At 37.8% G+C, this 27035-nt stretch overlaps 1 pseudogene across 1 annotated transcript in view; it reads left to right on the forward strand.

Moving 5' to 3' along the window:
• Nucleotides 1–27035, forward strand: part of EFL1P1 (elongation factor like GTPase 1 pseudogene 1) — a 46415-nt pseudogene that overhangs the window by 11890 nt on the left and 7490 nt on the right. The window contains exons 5-7 of the transcript NR_036652.1: nt 9955–10088; nt 21551–21631; nt 23969–24068. The product of NR_036652.1 is annotated as an elongation factor like GTPase 1 pseudogene 1 (transcript). The remainder of the gene's footprint in view (nt 1–9954; nt 10089–21550; nt 21632–23968; nt 24069–27035) is intronic.

Consider the following 27035-nt stretch of genomic DNA (forward strand, 5'->3'; position numbering starts at 1 on the left):
TTTTTTTTTTTTTTTTTTTTTTTTTTTTTTTTTGCTCTGTCACCTAGGCTGGAATGCAGTGGCGCAGTCTCTGCACGCTAAAGCCTCTGCCTCCTGGGTTCCAGTGATTCTCCTGCCTCAGCCTCCTGGGTAGCTGGGATTACAGGTGCATGCCACCACGCCTAGCTAATTTTTGTATTTTTAGTAGAGATGGGGTTTCACCATGTTGTCCACGCTGGTCTCGAACTCCTGACCTCAGGTGATCTGCCCGACTTGGCCTCCCAAAGTGCTGGGATTACAGTCGGGAGCCACTGCACCTGGCCAGGTATGCTTTCTTGATTGCACAGACCAGAGACAAGCTAGCTTGGGTTGGGGTGAGATAGCTTATTGAAAGCATATGTGTGAAATGAGATTGGAAATAATATTCATGAAAATGGAAAAACAGGAGTCTTATTGGAGTGACGTCTCATAAAAATTGGAGCCAGATTTTCATTCTGGATCCAAGATAGCTCTAGAGACCACATCAGTAAAAGTTTATGGATCCTGCCTCTGGAACTCCACTGTTGTCCTTGGATTTGGGTGTCTGTTTGTATCTCCACTATTATCCTGTATGTCTTTTCTCTGTCTCATAGCTTTTGCCTACTGTCATGTCTTCATCTTTGTACATTCACCTTGCCCTGACTTCTTACCCTATTATCCTGTCTGTTTTCACCTTATTTCTGTTGCCTACTGCTTCAATCTCTTGTGTTTCTGAGCACACAGGCTCAAGAGCAGGATGCGGCTCTGCTTATCTTTTCATGCCAGCCCATCACAGAGGTTGCACCTATGGATTGGCTGCGCTTGGGTTGGTTAGTCACCTCCTAATCCAATCAGTGGTGATCGGAGTGGAGTCACAAAGTGTCAAACATGTTTCTTGTGAGCATGGGATTACTGCCTAGAAGGGAATTTGGGCCGAGCAGTCATCACACTTGACAGTGCAGAGCCTTATGGGGATAGAAGTTAGGAATGTTGACTGGGACATATCCTCTCAGAGCACTTGAGAGATGAGATATGTTTTTATCTGTATCTTAGTACTGATTCTCCAGAATGGGGTATTTCCTGTTCTGAAGGTGGGACGTCTGAAGGGGAACCTAGATGGGAGAAAAAGAGGGAAACCTGATGATTGAAGAAACTCCACAGGTGACTTTTATTTATACCATGCCTTCCCCTCCTTCTCACCCACTTTGAATCCCCTCTTATTTGAGAATCTGTGTACTAAATGCAAGTTAAACTCTTTCTCTGGTTCTCTTAATTTAACGAGCTTTCAAAAGTATTTTCAAATATTTATTTGGGTTGAAATATAGGGTCTTATTCTAGTTTAAGGTAAACAGATAAATCCTGCACATTATAGAAGTGATGCTGAAAACCATCAAGGTCATACACTATCTCAGCATTTTCCAGGAACCTAATTATTCTTTGAGAAAATGGAGCCTCTATTATCTTGACGTTTGTGACCAAAATTTGCTACAAATGTTGGGATCATATTATTAAATCTTGTTATTTGCCTGTTTCTTACCTCTCTTTGTGTCCTACCCACAAGAATACCACACATTTATCTTGTTAGGAAGTATTCCTAACAATATACGTTCTGTAAAATATCCTAAGGGGATGTAATGTCTTTGAATCCTTTAGCCTAGAATTGAGATATAGAAGACAGAAATAGATTCACATGGGTTAATAATTTGAAATTCATCAAAAGGAATACTGCTGTCATTTCTACTGTATAGCCATTTTTTATACCTGAGCAAATACTGCTGTTGCTGAACTTTTGAAGTTTTTATCTAATTCATCTTTTAAAATATTTTAAATAAATTTACAAGTTTATATACATACATACACACGTGTATATATATATTGCATATATAGTATATATTGTGTATATGTATATCTATTTCAATTTATATATATATACACATATATTTCAATTTTTTTGTAGAGATGAGATCTTGCTATGTTGCCCAGACTGGTCTCAACCTCCTGGATGCAAGCCTTGTACCCATTTCCTAAAGTTTTGGGATTACAAGTGTGAGCCACCATACCTGGCCCAAGTTCATATTTACTATAGAAAATTTAGTATGTGTTATAGAATATACAGTAAAACACAAAAATGGAAGAGAAATCACTGTCAGTTTACCGCCAGTTATTTTATATTTTCAATTTTTATATTTAATGCAAGTTGTATGTGTATGCACACACTGTGAGGTAAATATCTGACTTTATTTCCCCCGCAAATAGCTTACTTATTCTAACACCTGTCAGATGTGATTATTAAGTACAATATTATTGCTGACATGGTGTTGACACCTCTGCATAAGTGAGGCAGTTTGGGTGGGGCTGTTAAGGACTAGAGAGTGAATTATGCCCACTCATGGAATACCTCCCCCAATTCCTGGATAAAGGCCAGTATCATTCAGCTCCACTTGATTGATTGATACCCTGTGGGAATTTTTTTTTTTTTCAAGAAAAGTTGGCATCAAGATTTTTGGTAAAATCTTCCAAGTTTCAAAATGACGGCAACTTATTTAAAAATTGTAAAACACCATGTAGAACACACTGCAGTGGGCTTTAGCTTATGAGCTTTTAGTTAGTAACCTCAGGCATATAGTCTAGCTAATAGACTAGTGGTACACTTGGGATTCACCCAAGAGTCAGCCATATGCAGTGAGGTTGTCCTCTAAACGTGGAGACCAAGGATATAGCAGCCTTCTGCAAAGAGGTCCATATGCAAGTTGATCACTTTGTAAATACCTCTGTTAGGGTTAGTGGTTGTGGGCAGAAGGAGGATTTACGCATGTGTTGATTTCAGCTCTGTGGCTCTCTGGTTTTATACTCCAAAGACTAGGCCATGGAGACACTGACTCATGCCATCTAATTACAGACAAGGCCAGCATGTAGCAGAAAGTCATCTCTTATTCAGAGGCAGTAGCTTCCCTTTCCTTCTGGCTGTGTGAATGTTTACCCATGGTCCTAACTTGCCTTATTCTTTCCAGAATGAGGCTGGGAGGGAAGAGTTCCATTACCCCTCATTTGACTGAAGGGTAGATTTTGTTCTCGTCAGACAATGAATGCTTTACTTTGTGAAGTATTCAGTTGATGCCAGGCGTAAGAAACTAGGTACACGATAGTTCACTTCTGAGCTAGGTGTCCCGTATGCCTGATTTTGTTTTATCTTCACAGCAACTCTGTGATGGGTATTACTCTGATTTTACACATGTGCAAAAATGGAGTTCAGAGAGGTGAAGACACTTTCCCAAGGACAGAGTAATTTCTAGCATGTGGTAGTAGTCCTAGAACCCACATTTCCAGCGTATTCACTTGGACCATTAGTCTCTTGGAAGTCAGGCCACAACTAGAGGAAATTCCTCCTGAGGCTTGAGTATCTCCTTTCCACTAGTGATTGCTATGGACGTCTTGTGGCCAACACTACCTACATCCCTGTGGTCTTCAGTCACTGCCCACGATGCAAGCCACATGATCTGGCCCTCTTATAGTCTCTTCCCCATGTTTCTCTGTGATTCTGTCAGCCTCTTTCAATCTCCCATTATTCCCCTCCTTACCAAAACTTACTGTGAAAACATTCCAAGGGAAACAAACATCGCTACATCCTCAATGTCTTTTTATTGACGTTTCCCCCTTCTGCCTGGCTGTCTTCTGATGACATTGCCTGCCTTGTACCTTTTCCAAGTGAATGCTACTCCTTCGTTCATGTTCCACGTATCTCTGGGTTAGCATATGGGATTGCCATTCTTTTTGTTCCCAGATCTGATTACAAAAGTTAATTCTTCTACCCTTGTTTTCAAACTTCTCCTTTCAAGACTCAGACCATCCAATTATTCACCTTTCCAGTCATTGTCAGCTCCTGGTGATGTTTCCTGTTCATTAGTGACTTTGGCACCCAGCCTCATAATTGTTCTTTTCACCTGAATCTTCTAAGGTGGCTTTTACCATCCCTGAGAATGACTTCTTCAACAGCTTATCCTCTCAACAACATTGGTTCTCCACTTCACCTACCCGTTGTCATGACTACTTTCTGGATTTTAGCATCACCTTGAGCTATTCATCTTTGACATTTCAAATTTAAATACTTCCTTCTCTACAATCTTTGATTCTCCCAGCTTTCTTTCTTTCACCTGACTAATGAGTTACCCATTCTTTGACTTCATAATGTTCTCTAGTTTTTTGACTCCCATCAGCCTCTTTCTTCATTCACTTCCTGCCTCATACAGCCCAGATTTGTCATTTCACTGACAGTCTTCCCAGCATCTTCAGTCTCTTTGGTTCTTGACTTTCTGTCATATTTTTCCCAATAAAACTTTAACCCTTGATAAAGTTAATTCTCTACACGTCTTCATCCTTGTATTTGGGCTAGGTTCTCAAGTGGTCCTCCAGACTGCTGGCAGATTTCCCATCTCTCTCTCTATTAGGTCTTGCTTACTCTTCCCAGCAGCTATTTTAAACCTTCTGGTCTCCTTCAGCCTACCTGTCATCCCCTCCTCCACAATCTCAGCAGACATTCTTACTTTCTATTTCACAGAAAAGAGAAGAACTCTCACCTGCTTGCCACTGTACCTCAAAACGTAATGGTATGGGCATTTTTGTTTGCCTCCTGTCACTGGCAAAAACCTGTGCTCTGGACTTACCTTCTGTTTATGATCTTTTCTTCAGTATCTTCCACCTGTCCCTCTGTACTGGCTTGTAACCATCAGCTTTTAATCATGCTCAAGTCTGTCTTGTCTTAAAAAATACATAAATCCTTCTTTCAGCCCCACATTCCTCTGCATGTTTCCTCTTCCCGCTTCTTAGTCAAAGTTATACTACAATTACTCTCTCAATTACTCTGATGATATGACCCGCACCTTATACTAATGACGTGCATTAGCAGTGTGAAATTGATCCTTGATCTATGACTCTCCAGGGTAATGCTAGGCATAGAGATATTATAAGTAAGTGTCAACCTTTTTTTTACTCCAGGGTTTCTTATTCTGGTTCTTATTCTTATACCCTTCCAAGCAAAACTGCCAATGATCAAAGGAATCAAGACAATGTGGATGTGTAATTATTAGATTTACTATCTACACAGCAGGCCTTCAAAGGTGGAGAAGTTCTCAGTGATGTCAGAGTTCAGGGTGTGGCCACAGTACTGGGTGGCAGGTGTGGACTGGCATCATACTGAGAAAAACCAAAAGCGGGTGAGGCCAAATGTAATCAGAAGTGCTCTGTACGTGGTCTAGTTTCATGTTGGAGGAAGGTCTGGAGAGGTCTTCGGGTTGGGTTTGTGCAGCAAAAGAAAACTTAATCAGTTTGCTATTCATAGTTGTTTCTAGATCATTTTTCCTCTCATTTTCCTAACCCCTGTCACTTTTTTTTTTTTTTTTTAAGACAAGAGTCTCATTCTATCACCCAGGCTGGAGTGCAGTGGTGATCATAGCTCACTGCAGCCCAGAACTTCTAGACTCAAGCAGTCCTCCTGCCTCAGCCTCCCAAGTAGCTAAGACTACAGGCATGTGCCACCATGCCTGGCTAATTTTTTAAATTTCTTATAGAGATGACGGTCTTGTTATGTTGTCCAGGCTGGTCTTGGCTCAAGTGATCCTCCTGTTTTGGCCTTCCAAAGCACTTGGATTATTGGTGTGAGCCACTGTGCCTGACCCCATCTCAGTTTTGACACATACCATCAGAGTCAACCACCCTTCACCTCTCCTTGTGGCAGTCTTCTCATAAAGATAGTTATCCTGTTACCTGTATCAGCTTTATAGTTGTGCTTTACAATTCTGTCAAATAAGCCATATTAGTTGATTTATAACTTACAAAGTTATACATTGATTTAAAATGTAAAAACATAGTATTAAGATATAAAAGGTAACCAGGTTCAGTGGCTCACATCTGTAATCCCGGCACTTTGGGAGACCGAGGCAGAAGGATCACTTAAGGACAGGAGTTTGAGACCTGCCGGGGCAACACAGTGAAACCCCATCTCTACAAAAAATAAAATAAAAATTACCCTTGTGTGCCTGCAGTCCCTGCTACTCTGGAGGCTGAGGCAGGAGGATCGCTTGAGCCCAGGAGTTTGAGGCTGCAGTGAGCTATGATTGTGCCACTGCATCCAGCCTGAATGTTACAGTGAAACCCCGTATCTTAAAAAAAATTAAAAAATAAAAGTGGTATTTCCTGTGGAGGGAGACTTTTGGTTACAGTTGGTGTACAACTTATGTATATAATAGTTATAAGTTCATACATAAGGAATTTAGGAACATGTCTTCAGATAACTCAGGTTCTGCCTGTATTTCTGTTATTTTCGTTGTCAGGCAAAATACTCTACCATACACTGAAACATAAAGGACACTTTCAGGAGGTTCAGATCTTCTTCCATAACTTCAGTGTTTCTTTTTTATTTTATGGAAAGTTTTCTCTCGTCAGGTTTCTATGTATGCGTTAGTGAACATTTCCAGTGTTTTGGAAGTTGAACACTAAACTCCTTACATGAAGTTTTACTGAATACAGAGATGTTTTGGCAGGTCCTAGTGACAAATGTGCACCTTCTGTGAGACAATTATCCATGGCACTTTAAAACCATGGGCAAGGGAGCAATTCTTTTCCCATAACTCCCTATTAGCAGCAGAAATTGTCTGGAAGATATCTCCCATAATTAACTTCAGGTCTTCCAATTTTTTTTTCAGTTCCCTGGAATATAAAAAGATTGAATTGTTGCTTGACTGATTAGATCTGTGCCTTGAAATGAAGCAGTTTAGTTTGGAATGCCTGGGAAGTAAAGCAGCAGCATTCTGTCCCTGAATGCTGTTGCAGGGATTAGTTCAATATGTAGCTTCAGGACTTTGTTACAAATCAGAAAGATCATTTAGCATGCTTAAAAAATTTTGTCTCCTGAAAAGTGTTATGCATTTTCTACTTTTTAAATAATTTCCACTAGCAATAATAATAATATCTAGCATGATAAGCCCTGTAATTGTTTTTATGTATTTTTTAATTTGATCACACATACACAAAAGTGGTAAATGGCATTTTTTAAAGAGACATAATGTGGCTGAAGTCACAGCAGAAGAGCTGTGCTTGTGGACTTTTTTTCTCTAATGGATATGGGACTTCTTTCCCCAACCTTTGAAATTTAGGTTAAAGTTGTTTGGAAAGGGTTAAGATGAAAAAGGCGTTGAAAGAGGAATTGGGAGGCCTGGCTCAGAGCCAAGCCTTTGTCAGCTGTGTAACTGACCATGGCATTTCCTCTTTCTCACCATTGAATACATTTGAGAAACTCCAGGTTAAACAGAGTTGGACAGACTTCTCACAGGGCTTCTCTGAACCTTTAGTATGTATGTGTGATGTGAGCTCCAAGGCTGGCTGTATTTGTCAGCTGTATTATTTGATCAGACACTTAGTTTTGAGGATGTAGATTTTCAGGTGGAAACACTTGGTGTATCATTAGCTTTCAGTTCCTCTCTAGATCTGAACCTGCCCTTCCTGAATGAATTTCAAAGAATCTGGAAATGGACGCGTACTTAGGGGAGCATAGATAAGTAGATAGGTATTCGTTTTTCTGACTATTCCCTAAAAGGTCTGTAACTCCAATAAAAGGTAAGAGCACTGTTGTATAGGAAGCCTGAAATGTCTGTACGAGTGCATTTTTAGACTCTGTAAAGAACTTGACTGGAGACCCAGTCTCTGAAACTTCAGTATCAGGTCCCGGTCGTATCACAAAGGATGGAAAAGTGCTTGAAGTTCTCCCACTCTAAAGTCTGGAGTTTAGCCAGATGAATAGGCAAGTGTTGTTTCCCCAGTTGCAAAGTATGAAGGAATCTAAGACCCGAGAAGTGACTAAGATGGTTCGATAGCCCTGGGTGTATTTCTGGCTTGCTTCTTTTGGGACCTTGGGTCAGTCTCTTACCTTTTGAGGGCGTTAGCATGTTTTTCTATGGAATAAAGGCTTAGGCTGAGAAAATGCTGAGTGATTCTAAGAATCTCACAGCTTTAATTTTGTATGATAGGACCCTAGACCACTACTAGACATGCTCCTTTTTCTCTGGTGTACTTGGTTGAGATCACGATACTTATCGAAAATGTTGACTAGGAGAACTGGTGTGAGATCTGACAGTGAAAGGCTCGATTGAGGTCCAGTGGGCCATTGCTCCAGGGCTCTGGTTATTTGACTTCTTGGATTTTCACTGGATATCTCCATGGTCTTCTCTGGTTGGAGCCTTCTCTGGTGGTTTCAGCAGAGCAATGGTTCCTCATAAAGCAGTTTGCATGAAAAGACCAGGAGGCAGCGGGGAGGAGTGGTACTGAAGAAGGCAGTCTGTTGCTAACTGATGGCAGTCTTTCCCACTGAGCCTCAGTACACTTGGGAATGCTTCACCCAGTGTTTTAGGAATTCATTAGCAGTGGAATCTTGGCATGTGAGGTGAAAGTTACTGCCTTCTGAGTGTAGTGGTTAGAGGTATGGTCTTTGGAGTTAAGTGGATTTGAACTTATGCTCTATCATTTTGAATTGTGTGATCTTAGTCAACCTCAGAATTGGATTCTAGCTGGATGTCCTTGAGAAAAATACTTAACTTTTCTGTGCCTTAGTTACCTGCTATATAAAATTGGGCTAATAGTTGTAACTACTACAGGGGATTGTTGTAAGTAAACATCAGATAATTTCTGTATTATGCTTAGAACAATGCCAGCCATGAATAGGCAGTCCACAGATGTTAAGCGCTGGTTGTGGTTATTGTTGTGGTGGTGTTTATCATCAGTATCACCTAGGGCACAAGCGAAGTCATTAAAATTATATTGGGGGAAAATCCTTTAAATGGCCCATAAATTGCAGGTTGAGCATCCCAAATCTGAAAATCCAAAATCTGAAATGCTCCAAAATTCAAAACTCTTCAAATACCAACATGGCACAAAAAGGAAATGCTCATTGGAGCATTTTGGATTTCAGATAAAGGATACTCAACCCTGTAGTCATTCTTGAGTGCATTCAAGTTGATAAACACTGAGTTAAGGGGAGGAGCAAAAGTAAAGTATATCTTTGAGCATTCTAATAGTTATTCTGCCTTTAAAAGAGAATTATATCAAATTTATCAATAATGGGGAATGAGTACAGAATTCTAAAGTATTAACTAATTTTCTGCATGGTATACTAAGTTATGTTTAATGATAACTCTTTATAACCTAAGATGATCTTTTTTTTTCTTGTTTGCCTGGGACTAAGGGCTTTGATTGGATGTAGGAATTTCAGTGCTAAAACCAGACAACTCAGGATGTGCCATCACCCTACTATAAGTTTAATACATTTGTCTGTTGAGACTATTGAAGGAGATATTAATGGGAGAGCACATAGTGCACTGCTTGGCACATAGTAACTGCTCCTTAAGTTGTGGTAGAATTGAGTCTAAATCTTTTGTAGCATTAAGTCTAAATCTACATATTTTGTAGAACTGAGTCTAAATCTAAATCTTGATTGAGCCGATTCATACACTGCTCTTTGATAAATTGTAGGGAAGAACTTGGCCAACTGCTTTGTTGTTCCTTTGAACAGCTTTTACTGTCAGGTTCTTGGGCATTGATTTCTTTCAGTTTCAATTTCCTAAACTGTAAAAGGAGAATAGTAATATGTATCTCACAGGGATATTGTAAGGATTCAATAATATGTGATTAGCACATTAAAAGTGAGTATCACAGTGGCTGGCTCCTACTAAGCTCTTAAGTGGTAACTATTAGAATATTAAAGTCCTTTAACATTTTATATAGATGCTATTTGGAATCAGTAGTCCCATCAGTGGGAAAAGTTGGAATGATAGCTCTTGACTGAGTGTTTGACTCCTTTAGCTCTGCTCAGTTTTTTCTTAGAAGCTTTCAGCTTTCTTATTCTAGAATGCCTGAGGAAGAACATTGTATACCTGCACAACTGAAAATGTGTGTTTACAAATTGTATTTTAGGTAATGAGGAGTACCTGATTAATCTGATAGACTCTCCAGGACACATGGACTTTTCCTCAGACGTATCAACCGCTGTTCGCATTTGTGATGGATGCATCATTGTGGTAGATGCTGTGGAAGGAGTCTGTCCACAGGTAATGGATTGTGGTGAGAAAATACTTAAATGGTTAAGGGTGAGGAAAGAGGGGGAACTGACTGACTTTAGGCATTTCACTGACAATCACAACATTGGTTTTATATTTCACATTTGGTAACGTTCCAGTCTGTGAAGGAGTTAAATCACCAGAGTTCTGAAGGGATCTTAGAGATGATGACTTTAATTTAACATACTTTGTTTTTGTTTTTGTTTTGAGACAGAGTCTTGCTCTGTCACCCAGGCTTTAGTGCGGTGGTGCGATCTCAGTTTACTGCAACCTCCACCTCCTGGGTTCAAGTGATTTTTATGCCTCAACCTCCACATAAACTGGCATTACAGGCATGTGTCATCATGCCTGGCTAATTTCTGTATTTTTAGTAGAGACGGGATTTCGCCATGTTGGTCAGGCTAGTCTTGATCTCCTGGCCTCAAGCGATCCACCTGCCTCAGCCTCCCAGAGTGCTGAGATACAGGTGTGAGCCACCATGCCCAGCCTTATTTATCCTTCTTAACTGTCAGTTGCATAAAGGCAATGATGATTTCTTGTCTATAGTCCTTTGCTACTGTGCTGTATACATACTTTGTGAATGCCTATTGAATACCTTTGTGTGGCTGGCATAGTCTAGAGTGGTTATTAATCAATATTTTCTAATGTGCTCTAATTATTTCAAATCATGAGTTTTACATTTTTCTTTCTGTTTTTATTAGACACAGGCAGTTCTGTGACAAGCTTGGCTTGAAAGCATCCATCCAGTTTTAGTGATTAATAAGATAGATCACTTGATAGTGGAACTGAAATTTACCCCACAAGAGGCCTATTCTCACCTTAAGAGTATTTTAGAACAGGTATTTTAATTGTTAGTATCTAAAAAATTTAGCCTCGAAGAAGAGTTGTAAGGAAGTTACTGAGCTGGGTATGAACCATTGCTACAGAAAAGTGAACTTTTCCACTTCAGATTCATACATGTTGGTGTTATTCTACAACAGAGGCAACAGAATAAGCATGTTCTCAGTAGTCCCTTCCATCTCTTGGAAGCACCCATCATATAAAGCTTGGACAACAGGCTGTCTTGTTTAAAACATTGTATCTTGGTTCCAAAATGAAGCAATATTAAGATCTTATTACCTGTCTATAGTATTTTATTACCTGTCGTTAGAGGAAATTTTACCCAAGCATTCATTCATTTATTTATTCAGCAAATATTTCATAGATATACGTTGAATAAATGAATTATCGAATGTCCATTGTGCACTAGGGATTGTGAATGTAAAATGGACAGGTCAGAATCCCTATTTTCAAGGAGCTCACAGTATAGTAGGGGAGACAAACAAAGAGCTATTTGGAGAACAATGAGATAAGCCCCGGGTGTGATATGACAGCATAGATAAGGGCCATCTAACCCAATCTGGGTCAAGAGGGAAGAATGAGTTAGAAATCGTAGAATGGAAACCTTGAGATGGAAGTAAAGTAGGTGTTTGCCAGGTAGGCAGTTAGGAAAAGGACATTCAAAAGAGGAAGAATATGACAGGCAAAGTCATAAAGGCAAGAAAAAGCACAGTACAATGTTTCATTTAAGGAGCTGCAAATTGTTTTATAGCCGATTAATTAGATCATGTTAAACAGTGACAAGAGATGGGAAAAAGGATATGGATTTAGATGTTGATGAACCTTGTATGCCATGCATAGGAGTTTGAAATTTCTTCCTCAAGACAGTGGAAAGCATTGATGAGAGCAACTTGAGTATATTTATTTGCTAAAGGCAGGAAACAATAAAAGTAGAACAGTGAAAAAGAATGATGGATGGATATCATTCCCTGTAGAAATAGGAACAGGTAAAATAACTCCTGCCCTGCATTGGCAGGAGAAAGGTCGGTGGTATTTGCAGACATAAGTGAGCTTGTAGATTGGGATGTGGGGCACTTGAAGGAAATCCGAGTAATAGGTTCCATTTTCTTTCTGAGGTAGGACATAAGATTACTGCCTATTTGGGAGTGAAAGTAGTTGAGGATTAGGATTTGGGAAGAGGGCCTGAAGAGAGTAGTGCACATTTCAGACAACCAATGTGAAAGATGGGCAAGGCAGTGGACTAAGGTTACAAACTAGGATTGTGGGGTTGGAAATCATGAGTACTTTGTGATACTAGGCCTCAGCACTGAAAAACAAATTAAGGATATGACACACTAACATTTACATTAAACTAATAATAATAATCACAAAATAACCTTCCAAAAACCTTATAATTTAGTTACGCTGAGTTTAGGAAGGATGGATACATCTAAGTTATTCACTGATTGTGAATGTCACCTCCATTCGTGTATGCTTAATGAGCCCAAACTGACTGATGATTCTAGCCCTAACACAGGTTAAACAGTGTTTCTCCTGCCGTGAGCATGCTGAGCATCTGAATGACGCTCTGCCATTTCACCATCTCTCCTAGATTAATGCGCTCACAGGGACTCTTTTTACTTCTAAAGTCCTAGAAGAAAGAGCAGAGAGGGAGACTGAATCCCAAGCGAATCCAAATTCTGAACAAGGAGAGCAAGTATATGACTGGAGCACTGGCTTGGAGGACACAGATGATTCTCACCTTTACTCCTCTCCAGAACAGGGAAATGTGGTGTTTACCAGTGCAATAGATGGGTGGGGCTTTGGGTAAGTCTGTTGGAATCTGATTAAATCTCTTTGCAGATTTTATATGCAATTGGTTTTTTTTAGTGAAACTTTTTATTTTGAGATCACTATAGATTCACCTACAGTTGTAAGAGATAATACAGAGAGTTCTCTGGTGCCCTTTACCCAGTAACTGCCTCCTATCCATGATAACATTTTGTAGAACTGTAGTACAATAACCAAGCAGGACTTTGCCATTTGCCATCAATATACAAAACATTTCTATCACCACAAGGCTCCCTCACGTTGCCCTTATATTGCCACAGCTACTTCCTTTCCACCCTCAAACCCTTTTTAACCCCTGACAACCGTTTATCTTATCTCCAAATTTCTCATTTCAAGGGTATTACAGAAATGGAATCAAAACAGTATATTATAGACATGGAACCAAAAAAATACGTAATATTTTTTGGATTGACTTTTTTCACTTAGCATGATTCTCTAGAGACTTATCCAAGTTATTGCATGCATTAATACTGTAGTTGGTTCCTTTCTGTTGCTCAGTAGTATTCCATGGTGTGGATGTACCCCAGTTTAACTACTCACCCATTAAAGGACATCTGGTGTTGTTTTTTTTTTCCTTTTTGGGCCATTATGAGTAAAGCTGCTGTAAACATTCGTATGTAGGTGTTTGTGTGAACATAAGTTTCATTTCTCTTGAATAAATGCCCAGGAGTGCAGTTGCTGGGTCATATGGTAGTTGTATGTTTAGTTTTTAAAGAAACTACCAAACTGTTTCCAGACGGACTGTACCATTTTATATTCTCACCAGCAATGCATGCGTGAGTGATCCAGTTTCTCCAAATGTTCACGTTTGGTGTTGTCACTGTTTTCATTTTAGCAGTTCTTTTGGGTGTGTACTAATATGATATTGTGGTTTTAATTTGCGTTTTCCTAACAGCTGGTTTACCTTGAACATCTTTTCATGTGTTGATTTGTCATCTGTAGGTCCTCTTGGGTGAAAAGTCTTTTCACATCCTTTCCCATTTTCTTATTGTGTTTTTTTGGTACTCCTGGGTTTTGAGAGATTTTTTCTATTCTAAACGCTAGTCCTTTGTGCTTTGCAAATATTTTCTCCCAGTCTATAGTTTGACTTCATATACTCTAACAGGGTCTTTCAAAGTGAGCAAAGTTTTTTTGTTTGTTTGTTTGTTTTGGTTTTTGTTTTTTGAGACAGAGTCTTGCCCTGTTGCCCAGGCTGGAGTGCAGTGACGCAATCTTGGCTCACTGCAACCTCCGCCTCCCAGGTTCAAGCGATTCTCCTGCCTCAGCCTCCTGAGTAGCTGGGACTACAGGTGTGCACCACCATTCCCCACTAATTTTTGTGTTTCTTTTAGTAGAGACGAGGTTTCAGCATGTTGGCCAGACTTGTCTCGAACTCCTGACCTCAGGTGATCTTCCTGCCTCAGCCTCCCAAAGTGCTGGGATTACAGGCATGAGCCACCGTGCCCAGCCATCAAAGTGAGCAAAGTTTTTAATTTGGCTGAAGTTTCCTTTATCATCTTTTCTTTTTATGGATCTTGATTTTAGAGTCAAGTTGAAGAACTCTTTGCCTAGCTCTAGATCCTAAAAACTGTCTCTCATTTTTTTCTAAAAGTTTTAGTTTTACCTTTTACATTTAAGTCCATGACCCATTTTGAGTTAACTTTTGTATAAAGTGTGAGGCTTGTGTTGAGGTTTTCTTTTGTGGGGGGAGAGGGCCTATGGATTTCCATTTACTCTAGAACCCTTTGTTGAAAAGGTTATCTCTTCTCCATAGAATTGCTTTTGTGCCTTTGTCAAAATGCACAATTTTTTGCTGGGCATACTTGTGTGGGTCTGCTTCTGAGTGTTTTGTTCTGTTCCATTAATCTGTGTGTCTGTCTTTCCAACAGTACCACATAATTTTGGTTAGTGTAGCTACATAATAAGTCTTGAAATCAGGTAGATTATTTCTGTCCACAATATTTTTATTTTTCAAAATTACTCTTGCTGCTCAAGGCCTTTGCCTTTCCATGTAAATTTTATAGTAATCTTACCTATATCTGAAAAAACATTTTGCTAGGATTTTGACGGAAATTGCTTGGTAAACCTGTTAATTTGGAGAGAATTTTGATATATTTGCTAAGTTGAATCTTTTCTATTCCATGAACACTATGCCTCTCCATTTATTTAAAATTTTTAAAAATTCTTTTATGAGCATTTTATAGTTTTCAGCATATAAGTGCTATGCATGTTGAGTTAGATTTACACTTAATTTTTCATTTTTCTGAAATGATTATAAATGATATTTTTAATTTTGGTGTTGACACATTCATCTAGTATATAGAAATACAATTAATTTTTGTATGTTGATCTTGTATACTGTCACCTTGCTGAACTCACTTGAAGTCCTTTGTAGATATTTTGGAATTTGCTATGAGACAATCATGTCTGCAAACAGGAATTGTTGTATTTTTTTTCCTTTTCTATCTGCATGCTGTTTTCTCTTTTGCTGATTGCACTGGCTAGAATTTCCAGCACTATATGACTGACATTGATGAGAGTGGACATCTTTGCCTTGTTTTCGGTCTTAGGAGGAAAGCATTAAGCCTTTCACCATTAGAAATAATGTTAGGGCTGCAGGCTGTTTTTAGATGTCCTTTATCAAGTTGAGGAAGTCCCTTAATATTCTTATTTTTTTGAAAGTCATTATTATGAATGTGTCAAGTTTTGTCACATACCTTTTCTGTATTAATACATTTGTATGATTTTTCTTCTTTAGCTTGTTAATATGGTATATTACATTGATTGATGTTTTTTAATATTGAGCCAGTCTTGCATTTCTTTATAGATTTTATATACAATTGATTTTTAACTTTAACTTTATTCTTGAATAAATTCAAATGTATACCACAAAAGGATCCCACTGTATTCCTTAGATCAGTTTATTTTCTGTTAGTTTTTGTTTATCTTCTTAAAGTTATTTATACATAGATGAACAACTATATTTATATCAACTTTGATACCAACAGTAGCAAAAGTTAGTCTAGCTTTATTGAGGATGTATGTATGCTAAATATTGAGTTAGTCACTTTATTTAAATTATTTCACCAAAAACTCTGACAACACTCTTTTGAAATAGATATTAGTATTTATTATCTAAGTCTCAAGAACATTAAGTAACTTTTGTTCAACATCACTCAGCTGCTAAGAGGCAGAGTTGATATTAAGATTAAAGTCTGCCTGAGTCTGAAGCCTGTGTTTTCTTGACATGGTTCTTCTCTGGGGTCTTCCCTATGGGGTATAAGGATCCTTATTTCTTCTTATTGCCTCTCCCGAATTTGTACATGCTGAGGCCGTGTTAACAGTGACCTTGGATTTCAGAATGGAGTAGATAATTGATCACATTTTTCAACTACAACAATTTCTGACTTGTGGAATCAAAAAATCCAAATGTAGTTAAAAGATTATTACTTTGAGATAAATGTCTGTGGTTTGGATAAATAATAGTGGGACCATAATGACCTTTACTTTAGTTGGGGCTTGATATTGCATGTAATTTGCAGGGATCATAGAACTAGAAATGATGCACTAGGAGAAAACAGAGTCTCTTCATGAAATTTATATCAGTATGACTTAGAATTGGAAAGAAAGAAAGGATCAGGAGCTGACTAGAATGCAAGGCTTGGGAGTAGCCTAACAAATCTCTGGCTCCGTTTTTTAAAATGTATTTTCCTTTTTACAGGAACTTGTTCTCCAATTTCCCTTTGACCAGATTTTGTCTTGGGCAGGGCAGTGTAATATAATATCATAATTTTCTGTTTGTAATAAATTATAGATATCTTAGTCCATTTGATGCCCGAAAGATGATACTAGAGCTAAATAAATTGAAGTAATGCATATATGATGAAAATAGAAATTGTGAACCTGCTGAGAATTTGCACTTTCATATATTGTTGATGGATTGTCATTATCACCTTTCTAGGCCTCAGTTTACTTATCGGAAAAAACAAGAATATTGGGCTAAGATGATTTCAAGACTTTCTTCAGATTCATTCACAGTGATTCATTCAGTCGTATAATAGGGTCATACTTGTTGATTTCCTGATTTGTGAGCATTCTGCTAGTAAGCCACAAGGTGGGAGGCTTGTCCCTTTCTTACAGTGATTTTCATAAGTAATTTAATGTTTTATGCTAATTTTAGTCTAAATCACACAAACTGGGGGAGGTTTATTGTGGAAGGAAAAGGAATGGGGAGGAAGTTGAATGGATAGAATAAGGGTAATTTACATAGCCCTTACTTTTGACATTTTTAGATACTATCAGCCAATAAATGAATGTTCCCCTGTATTAGACAAGGTCAGATTTAGAGATTGGCTAGTGTCTGTTCTCAACAAGTTGATATGTGAATCTATGGGAAAGTAGTGGTGGAAATGAAAGCACCAGAGACTTTTTTTGCTTCCCATTTTCCTCTAAAATGTCAGTGAATAGGCCAAGTTGACAGCTGCATGTGTCACAAAAGGTGGATAATGAGCACATTCCAGAATTCGCAAGAAGATTCTATAAACTCTGCAGTGGGAAAGGATTAAGAAGTGTGACTAGAGGCTGAACCTAGGTCTTCTCCCGAAATCTATCCTGTTAATTGATGTTAATCTGGGAGAGTCTGTGCTGAAAAGCAGAAGCACATTGACTTGGATGGGTAGCATCAAGAATCCAAGTTCTTGTTTTAGATACATAGAACTGAGTCCTCAACCTTATAGAAGAGGGACAGGAGAGAAGAGACAATGAAAAGCCCTTTGTATTAAATATACTTGTCTTTGTATAACTGTGTCTTAGAATTCAGTAGTTAACATTAATCCACTGGGTAGCTTGGAGGGCAAAAGGGTGTGTGGCTCAGTAATTTCATACTTGACTGAGTTGTCATTCAGCAAGATAGGCAACAAATAGATCAGTAGTCTTGGAATATAAATCTTTCTGCACGTCTCTTAGAATCTTGTTTGCAGTTACTCTGTAGAGGAAATGAATTAAAATAGAATTCAAGAATGGAGAAGTGCTAGAAATTGTCAGTGTTTAAAAATTGTAACTAATTAATGGCAAAAATAAATAAAAGCATTAGCAGTAATGTGGAATGGGTTGACGTTAAGCAAATTTTGTAGTAACTACGGGATAAAAAAGAATGAAAAGGACAAGAAACAAGATTTTGAAAGATTTGTGTACCCGTATGTGTACACATGTGTGAATATTTTATATGATGGACCAGAAAAGCCTAGCTTAAGCAAATGGGCAAGTGTCTTACTATAATTTATGATTTTGATAGAGGTTTTGGGAGTGTTTATTTATGAAAATCTTTAAGTTTACCACTTCCAGAATTAAGAGCGGGATATTTATCTGACATGTCATTGTAAAATATAAAAGAATGTGTAGTACAGTCTGGTAACACAAATCAATATTTTAAAAAAATCCCGGAAGAAAAGAAACCACACTAGAAATCTAACTGATCAAAACAGTTGTACCAATAAATGATTGTACCAATAAATGTATGAAATCCCCTACTAAGGAGATATTTTTTAGAAAGGAAATTTTATTAAAAAAATAAATCCAGAAGTTTGCTAAATAAAAGAGATAAACATAAAGCATAATGGACAGAAGCTACATACAAAGCTTTGGCTCAGATATGTCAACCAAATATGAATGAAAAGAGAGGTTTGGCAATATTAACAATAAAATAACATTTATTGTAAATGAATTATGGCATAAGGATCATTTTCATACAGATAATTGACACATTTACTAGTGAAGAGATTAACTATCAATTATCTGTCACCATAAAGAGATGTCTCTTTTAGACATCCCTGTATGGTTCACACTGTCCTTCTAGTCTCAGCTGAGGCCTTATCTCACTGCATGCTGGTCATCGTGCAGTGTAGATCGGGAGAGGTGGGTGCTCCCTGAAACCCCTTCTATAGATAGAGGTGGTGTAGGAATGCTGTCATATACCCTCAAAGGATACTTTTCTTGGAGCTTTATTTTTTAACGTAAAAACCAGGATTTCATAAATTTATTCTCATTGAAAATCATAATATACATTGCTTTTGAGAAAGTACTCACAAGTATAAAGCCACAGCAAACAAAAAAATCGAAGCCAGCACTGCTAGTAGATGTTTGTAATTTCTTTCATCCTTTTTACATAGATATATACATCCCTCAGTTGAGATATGCTGTTTATACAACGTAGCTGCCCTTTTGCTTTTGTCATATCATGAACATCTTCCCTTGCCATTAAAAGCTTTTTTATAAACAATATATTTCAAAGGGAGTGAATATAGCTAAGTGGGAAAGAGCATGCCTTGAGAGTTGACTCTGTTTGAATTTTGGCTCCACCACTTATTGGCTCTATGACTTTTATCTCAGTTATTTCATCTGTAAAATTGAGATAATAGCACTTATCTCACAGGATAGTTATGATTCTATGAAATAATTCAGTAAGCACCCTGTTATTTTATTTTGTGAGAGCACTATCATTTATGTAATCATTCTGAAGATTGGAAATAGTTTTTTTCAAATGCTTTGATATTGTAAGTAGGGTTACAATAGACGTCTTTGTGCAAAAGTTTTATGTCTTCATGATGCTTTTTTTTTAAACTGAGCATTCTAAGCCAATGACTTTTAATTTCTTAATACTGTTGCCAGTAGTTCTTCAGAAAGGAGGTATCAATTTATTAATATATCCCACCTCATGTATATGGGAGCGTATACCCCTCAAGGTGCTCTTGCTATTAACTTTTTGCATAGTTTGGTAAGAGAAATGATGGGTTTTTTTGGGTTTTCAAAATTTTCCTATCCTTGCGAACTTTTAGAAATATACTTAAGAATGCTTTATGTTTCTTCTAACATAATTTTAGACTGAAGTCCATGGAAAGAGGCTACATGTGCAGAGTGAAGTTTTAGCTCTTGGCTTGTGTGCTGTGTGTATTTGTTTGATGGCAACCATGGTAATATGACCCACGAATGGTCATATCACTTGTAAAGTCTATGGTTCCCAGAGTAAAGAACAGTGGATTATTATTAATTGTGGATTATTGGCAGTTTAGTGCATTCTTATAACTACTTTCATCTACTTTATTTTTGAATAAATATTTTCAAGTAGAAATGAAACATATTGATAATAAAAGCATGTCAAGAAGGAATATACAAATGCCTATTAAATGTCAGGAACTTAAGCCCGTATATTCTTTTGTACAGGCCAAAGGAAAGAAACTTTTATTTGTACAGTTGATCCTGGAAAATCTATGGAGTTTGTATGATGCTGTCTTGAAAAAGTAAGACTCTTTTAACATTGTTTACCTTTAGGCATCTTTAGGCAGTATAATTTGTCTCACTTTCCAGTTTGATGAGTCATACTTCAGAAAGCTGAGATGGACTGAGAAAGTGAACAGAGCTTCTACAGATGAGCTGATTACAGGGCTTGGAAGCAATTTAAAGAAGTCTATGTAATCCAGCTAAAGGGCAATACTGGAGGGACAGGATAGCAATATTTTATAGAGTGCTGAGGAGAAGAGATAAAAGGATGGAAAGAAACATTGGGCTTTTGTTTATCCAAACCCAGGTTTAAAAAATAGTTATTAAAGTAGAAAAGGTGCTTGATAGCTAGGATCATTAATGGGGAACTTGGGAAATAACTTGTCTGATACAAGTTTGCTTTAGTGCATTTATTTTCTAAGTTGTTCCTGAGGTGGAATAATAACTTGTTGGCACTTATTTGTAAGGCTGCTTTACCACTTGATATAGCTTGCTTGAGGAGATTGTGGAGAAGTACTTCCTGGGAAATCTTAAAGAAGGATTCACTTGAAAGTGTAAGAGTAGAGCTTGAGGAGGCTTTTTCTGTGGCAGGATTCCCTTCAATCATTTTTAGCTTTTTTTGAAAAAGTAACACATTAGGGTAAAAATATGCCGAATAATGTTGGGTTCCTTTCTCCCACTGCCTGTTTATATATGCGTATGACTTTTTCCCCCTCCAATCTTGTATTTACTATAGGGACAAAGACAAAATTGATAATATAGTGACTTCTTTAGGATTAAAAATTGGAGCCTGGGAGGCACGACATTCAGACCCTAAAGTTCAGATCAACGCCATTTGCAGTCAGTGGCTACCCATACCCCATGCTGCTCTTGGTATCCTTTATTCTAATGGTTTTTAATGAAATAGTTTTGATAAAGCTAGAAAAAACAATGCATTATGGCAACCAAGAAATTCTCTGGAAATAACATTCAATCCAAAATAAGTCTTCTCTGCTTATTTAGTGTTCTACCATGAAACTGTATTAAATACTTTAATAATTAATACACTAATACTAATTTGTTTTAACATTACTAATGAACTTCTTTAGAAAGACAGTTCTTTTGTGTTTGTTTAGTAATCTGTAAAAATAGAAATGTTTACACTGAGATTTAAATATAAGTAGATGATTTAGATGTTTGTGTTAGATAACTGTTTCATTTCAAGGTCACCTGTAGCCAACCTGCTAAGCTCTGTTCTCATTTGTTCCATGGGCCTCAGTGTTAAAGTACCTGTTCAATGAGGATCCTTTCTGAACTTTAAGGAGTTTGTGAACTCCCTGAAATTGTATGCATGTTTTGAGATGTGATGCATAAAGCAGTGTTGCCATATAACACATGCATTTTGTGTATGGACAGACTTTGTTACCTCCATATTTAGAGCATACAGTGAATCTTCGCCTTGGGGAGGCACTGGCTCAAGGTTTTGAGTCCTAAACAACAGACTTCAGCTATGGTATGTCAGAAACTTCCTTGTCCCCTTGATATTACAGCCCAGAGAATGGAGAGACTGATGTGCACAGGATCACAAACTTTTGACTCTCTTCCACCAGAAACTCAAGCACTGAAAGCAGGTGAGGAAAGATGGACCTGTTGGAATATACCATGTCATTGACTGTCCTCCATCCTGGCTGCTCTAGGCCAATTTGCTGAATGCTAGTTTGCTAAATGGCCAATTTGCCAAATGTCCACTTCCACAGATGAACAGTTTCACAAATGACCATTTCACCAGTTTTGCCTCCCACCCTCACCCCAAAGATTTTCTTGTCACAGCCATTTTGCTCAGCCAGTAGGGTGAGACCAGCGACTTCTTGTACACATGCTTCTCATGAGAAAAGAAGCTCCCATTCTGGGCTTTGTACGTTCCATGAAATTTGCCTCTATGTATTTTCTTATCTCTAATTCTTTTCCTCCAGTTCTATTGCTTTTGTAACCCTACCCTCAAACCACTACGCTGTTGTTCTTGGCATCACTATTGACTTTTGGTTCATTAAATCTAATGGCCAGTTTTCAGTCTTCATAGGACTAGATCTGTCACTAGCATTTGACACAGTTGATCACTCCTCCTCCTTGAAACACTTTCTTCCCTTGACTTCTAGGCTTCCATTGCTTCCGTTACCTTGCTTCTGCTTTTCTTCGTGTCTCCCTGGCTGCTTATCCTTAATAATCTCTTTTTGTGATTCCTCCTCATCTCCCTGGCTTTTTAACTTTGGGGTGCCCCAAGCAAGGTTCAAGTCTTTGATCCTCATCTATTTTACCTTCAGTCCCTCTTTTGATAATCTCGTCCAATCTCAAGACTTTAAATGACAACTACATACTCATAATTCCTACAGTTATGTATCTTGAGAGCATGTCTGTTTTCTGGACTCTGGACTGATATCTAGAACTCCCTCTACACTGTGTTGTCTAAGAAGCATCTCAACTGAACATATCCCAAACTGGACTTTTTATCTTATCCCCAAGCCTGCTCACCTAGTCATTTCCATCTCAGTTAGGGGGACCTCAATCTTTTCATTTACTCAGTCCAAAAACCTTGGAGTCATCTATGGCCCTTATATTTATCTCACACTCCAACATCCAGTTCATCACCAAATCCTGTTTATTCTTCCTCTTAAATACAGAATTCAACTATTTCCCAATGTTTTCACTTCTGCCTCCCTGGGCCAAGAAACCACCATCTCTCACCTGGTTATTTTAATTGTTTAACAACTAGTATCCCGGCCGGGCTGGGCACAGTGGCCCACGCCTGTAATACCAGTACTTTGGGAGGCTGAGGCTGGTGGATCATGAGGTCAAGAGCTTGAGACCATCCTGGCCAACATGGTGAAACCCCGACTCTACTAAAAATACAAAAATTAGCTGGGTGTGGTGGTATGCGCTTGTAGTCCCAGCTACTCGGGAGGCTGAGGCGGAAGAATCACTTGAACCTGGGAGGCAGAGGTTGCAGTGAGCCGAGATCACACCATTGCACTCCAGCCTGGGTGACAGAGTGAGACTCTGTGTCAAAAAACAAACAAACAGCGACAACAACAACAAAAAATAACTAGTATCCGTGCTTGTTGATTCCAGTTAGTGTTTTCTCAATATTGCAGACAAAACAGAGCGATCCTCTTAAGGTATAAGTCAGGGCATGTCATTCTGTTCCTCATTCAAAGCTTCCACTGGCAAGACTTCTGATACATGTTTGATTCTTACTTCCTGTGGTTTTCTTTTTTCTTGTTTATATTTTACTGTTGAATTCTTTGTATACAAATTATTTTAATGTGAGGTGATGGAGTTGTTTTTAAAAATTTCATTAATCAATGGTTTTTTTACCTCCAATATAGGTTAAGGAAAATGTTCATATGTTAATATGAAATTGTGTTAAAATTTATGTATTTAGGGATAATTGGCATTTTAATAGTATTGAATCTTAATTTATTTCTAAGAATTTGTTAATATCATAATACAGTATTTTTGTCCATTTTATTTTCTAATTTGTTATTGTGGGGGATTGGAAAAGCTATTGATTTTTATATATCGTGATGACAAGCTACCTTGTTGATTGTTGGCCTTTGGTAACATTCCTCAATTCTGTCTTTTCTGTACTTGACAGTGAAAAATGTATTAGTGCTTATGGTAGGTGGTTAACCTCATTGCATAGCTTTAGCTTTCATATGAGATCCCTCACCCTGTCAAATTTGCTTGCTTTTCTTTTCTTATTTCTGCCAAGTCTGTTTGCTCTTGCTCTGCTATTCTTTCCTAGCAATCTTACCCTTTTCTAATTAAAATTTTTATCTTAGTTGGAAAAAGTTATGGACTTCTGGTGTATATCGATGATGCCATGTTCTAAACATTTAATTGTTTTCCAGAAAAATCTGTTTTTTTAATAATGGGAAAAATAGTGACATTTTTACTTCCTATTTGTTTAGCTTTTATGAAATGTGGAAGTGAGGACACTGCTCCAGTTATCATGTTTGTTTCCAAAATGTTTGCAGTTGATGCTAAGGCCTTGCCTCAGAATAAGCCAAGGTAAGGGAAAGGGGAAAGTTGGGCTGGGCTAGGAATATGGTGTATGTTTGGTGGGATGCAGTTGGGCCGTGGGTAGTGGGGGCACGGATAATGCTTTTCCTCCTCAACCCAGAATTCATATCAAGCCAACCCCCAGGGTAACATACAATTTATACAGTAGTATATCCTTTTGCAATACCTCTGTAGGAGAAAGTTGTTGAAATCAGCTCTGGAATATTGAATTGAAGTGATGTAAGTTTGAAGAGTATGTTAGCAGTAGTAGCAACAATTAACTTTTATTGAACATGTCAGGCGAGTTCTAATCTAAGCCTGCCTTGTCTCATCTAATTCTGCCTACCTCAGTAATTATGAATGTATGAGGATCTCTGCTTCCTTGTGTGTATTATGTGTGCACAGGTGTGATGAGTGTAGGAGAGGGATATTCCTCAAGTTCCAGAGTCTTGGGGAATCTGTCTCTTCTACATTTCCTGTTTTTTATGTGTGTTCCCCTCCTTCTGTCTCTACTGCTTCCCCCGCTAGTTTAGATTCTGATCATCTCTTGTGGATGTTGTTGCAGCAACCTCCTAGCTGGTTCTCCTGCCCCATCTTTAGTTCCACTGATCCACTTGCCATTCTTTCTTTAGAGTGATCTTTATAAGACTCAGCTATGAAGATATGTCTCTTGCTCAAAAACCCTTAATGATTCTCACTGTCTTGAGCAGTTTTGATTCAAGTGTAAAGTGTTGGCGATGATTTCAGTGGTACTTAGGGAAATAAGTTTTAATTTAATTAGTTGTCATATTTATTTTAATGTGTATTTGTGTGTATTGCCTGTGTATGTCAAGTGATAAAGCTTTTACAGTGATGAGATTTTGAAGTTTTATTGAGTTAAAAATGTTTGTGCATTTAAATAAGTATTAAATAAATAATATGCAGATATAGCAGAAATCATGAAAATGATATGTGAGTGACTGAAGGTCAGATCATCAGCCCGTGAAATAAACTTGACCTGTCTTATGGCATTTCCGACCCACCGTGACCTGACCCCAAACCATGTTTCCACTAGATTTTTATTTCTGTTTCTCTAATATACTAGTGTCTGAACAAATGTCCTATCTGTACTTGTGCTGTTCCTCCATCTGAGAAGGCTTCTTTTCCTCTGATAAAATTCTGTTTGTCCTTCAGGGGAAAGGTTATGTGTTGTTTTTTAGTACTTCCCTAGTGATTTGGACATTAAGTGTATTCAATAATTTTTGCCCTGGGGATAAGTAAAGGAATAGATGGGTGAGTAGATGAAGAATGAATGAGTGAATATCCGAATGGGGGAGTAACAGGTCAGTGAATGGGTGAATGAGTGGCTGAGTAAGTAAATGAGTGAATAATGGAATGAATGAATGTCTAATTGTGTATCTAGGCTACTCCCAGATAATATTTCAGTGCTACATGTAGTAACAATTTCTTGTAGTAACAAGTTTAGGATATTGGATTTTTTTGGCCATTGGGAGTATCTGAGAGATTCTGGTAGAATCATAGGGAATATCAGAGAATTGGAAAACTTGCTGTTAATATTTGAAATACATGTATTTATAGCATTTAAAATTCCTAGCTCTACCCATCCTCCATTTCTTGCTGATGAATAATAGTATTATTATGCCTCTACTATTAATTACATTTTCTGTGAATGTTTTTCTTAATAATTCATCATATGCTTTTCTGATTTTAGTATATTTCTGATAGTGCAATCCATTCTATTCCATGAAGTTTTTTTACTGATTTTATTTTTGTCATTGGTTTTTAACCAGTATATCAGGTTCAACAATTGTTACATCATAATATAGTGTTTTCAGGTATACCTGGGTAAGGTCATCATCATTAGTTTGTTCTTTTCTATCTTCTAGCTGACTTGTTTTCATTTAAGTTTTATTTGTAAAATGTGGGGAAATGTATCATTGAAATTTGGTTTGATAGCATTTTCATCTCCATTGTATTAGATATACAAGCCAGGAATAGCAGAGTATTATTTTCCTTTAGTATAGAGTACAATGTATTAGTGATATGTGCCAGGGAGAAAAGTAAGGCAGGAAACAGGATTCGGCACCCACAAACCCTAAAAAATTTTTCCCTAACTTGATGAAAACACTGACCTTTACTCACTGCTCAACAGTGCCGCTGTGGTTGTAAATGAAGTGTGGGACTGTTACAGGACTTTCTCCTCTGTTCTTGTGTTCTTGCCTCTTTTCTTTGCTTCTTCAAATTCACCTTCCAACCTGACATTTGAATCTTCAGTCAACATTCTCACCTCTGGTCTCCTTCATCTCAGTATTAGTGACTATTGTCCCTTCAGGAAGTAACATCCATGGTTAGTTTAACTATAGCCTAAATAACTTAACACTCACAACTGTTTCCTCACTAGTAGGGCCCCATTTTCTTGTAATTAAATTTCTTTATTCTCAACAAATACTGGATACACAGTGGGTACTTTTTACACATGCTTGCTGATTACTATCTGCTTTGTTCCCCTCTACCATCATTCCCAGTGCCCATAGCAATGCGTGGCACACAGTAGTTGTTCAATGGGTGGATGAGTAGATACATAGATAGACAGCAGGCATCTATACAGTTGATGCTTACTTAATGACTGTACATGCTGATTATTCCAGATCACTTCATGAACTTAGGCAGGTGAGGATTTAATCTGCAAGGTGAACAAATACACTTCTTTTTTCACTAAAACTAAAGTGAAATCACATTTACTTAAGATGATGATGTTATCATCTTTAATTCCTCTTGAAGGAAAGACATAACCTGGTGATAATGAGCATAGACTTTAGAGCCATACAGATCTGGATTTGAATTATGGCTCCTCCATTTAATATCTATGTGACTTTGGGTCGAGTTACTTAAGTTTTCAGTCTCCCTTTTCTTATATGTAGAATAGGAATATGATATCTACTTCATTTAATTGTTGTGATAAATTATGTGCTATAA

This window comes from Homo sapiens, chromosome 15 (assembly GCF_000001405.40).
Source record: "Homo sapiens chromosome 15, GRCh38.p14 Primary Assembly".
In the NCBI taxonomy this organism is placed as follows: domain Eukaryota; kingdom Metazoa; phylum Chordata; class Mammalia; order Primates; family Hominidae; genus Homo; species Homo sapiens.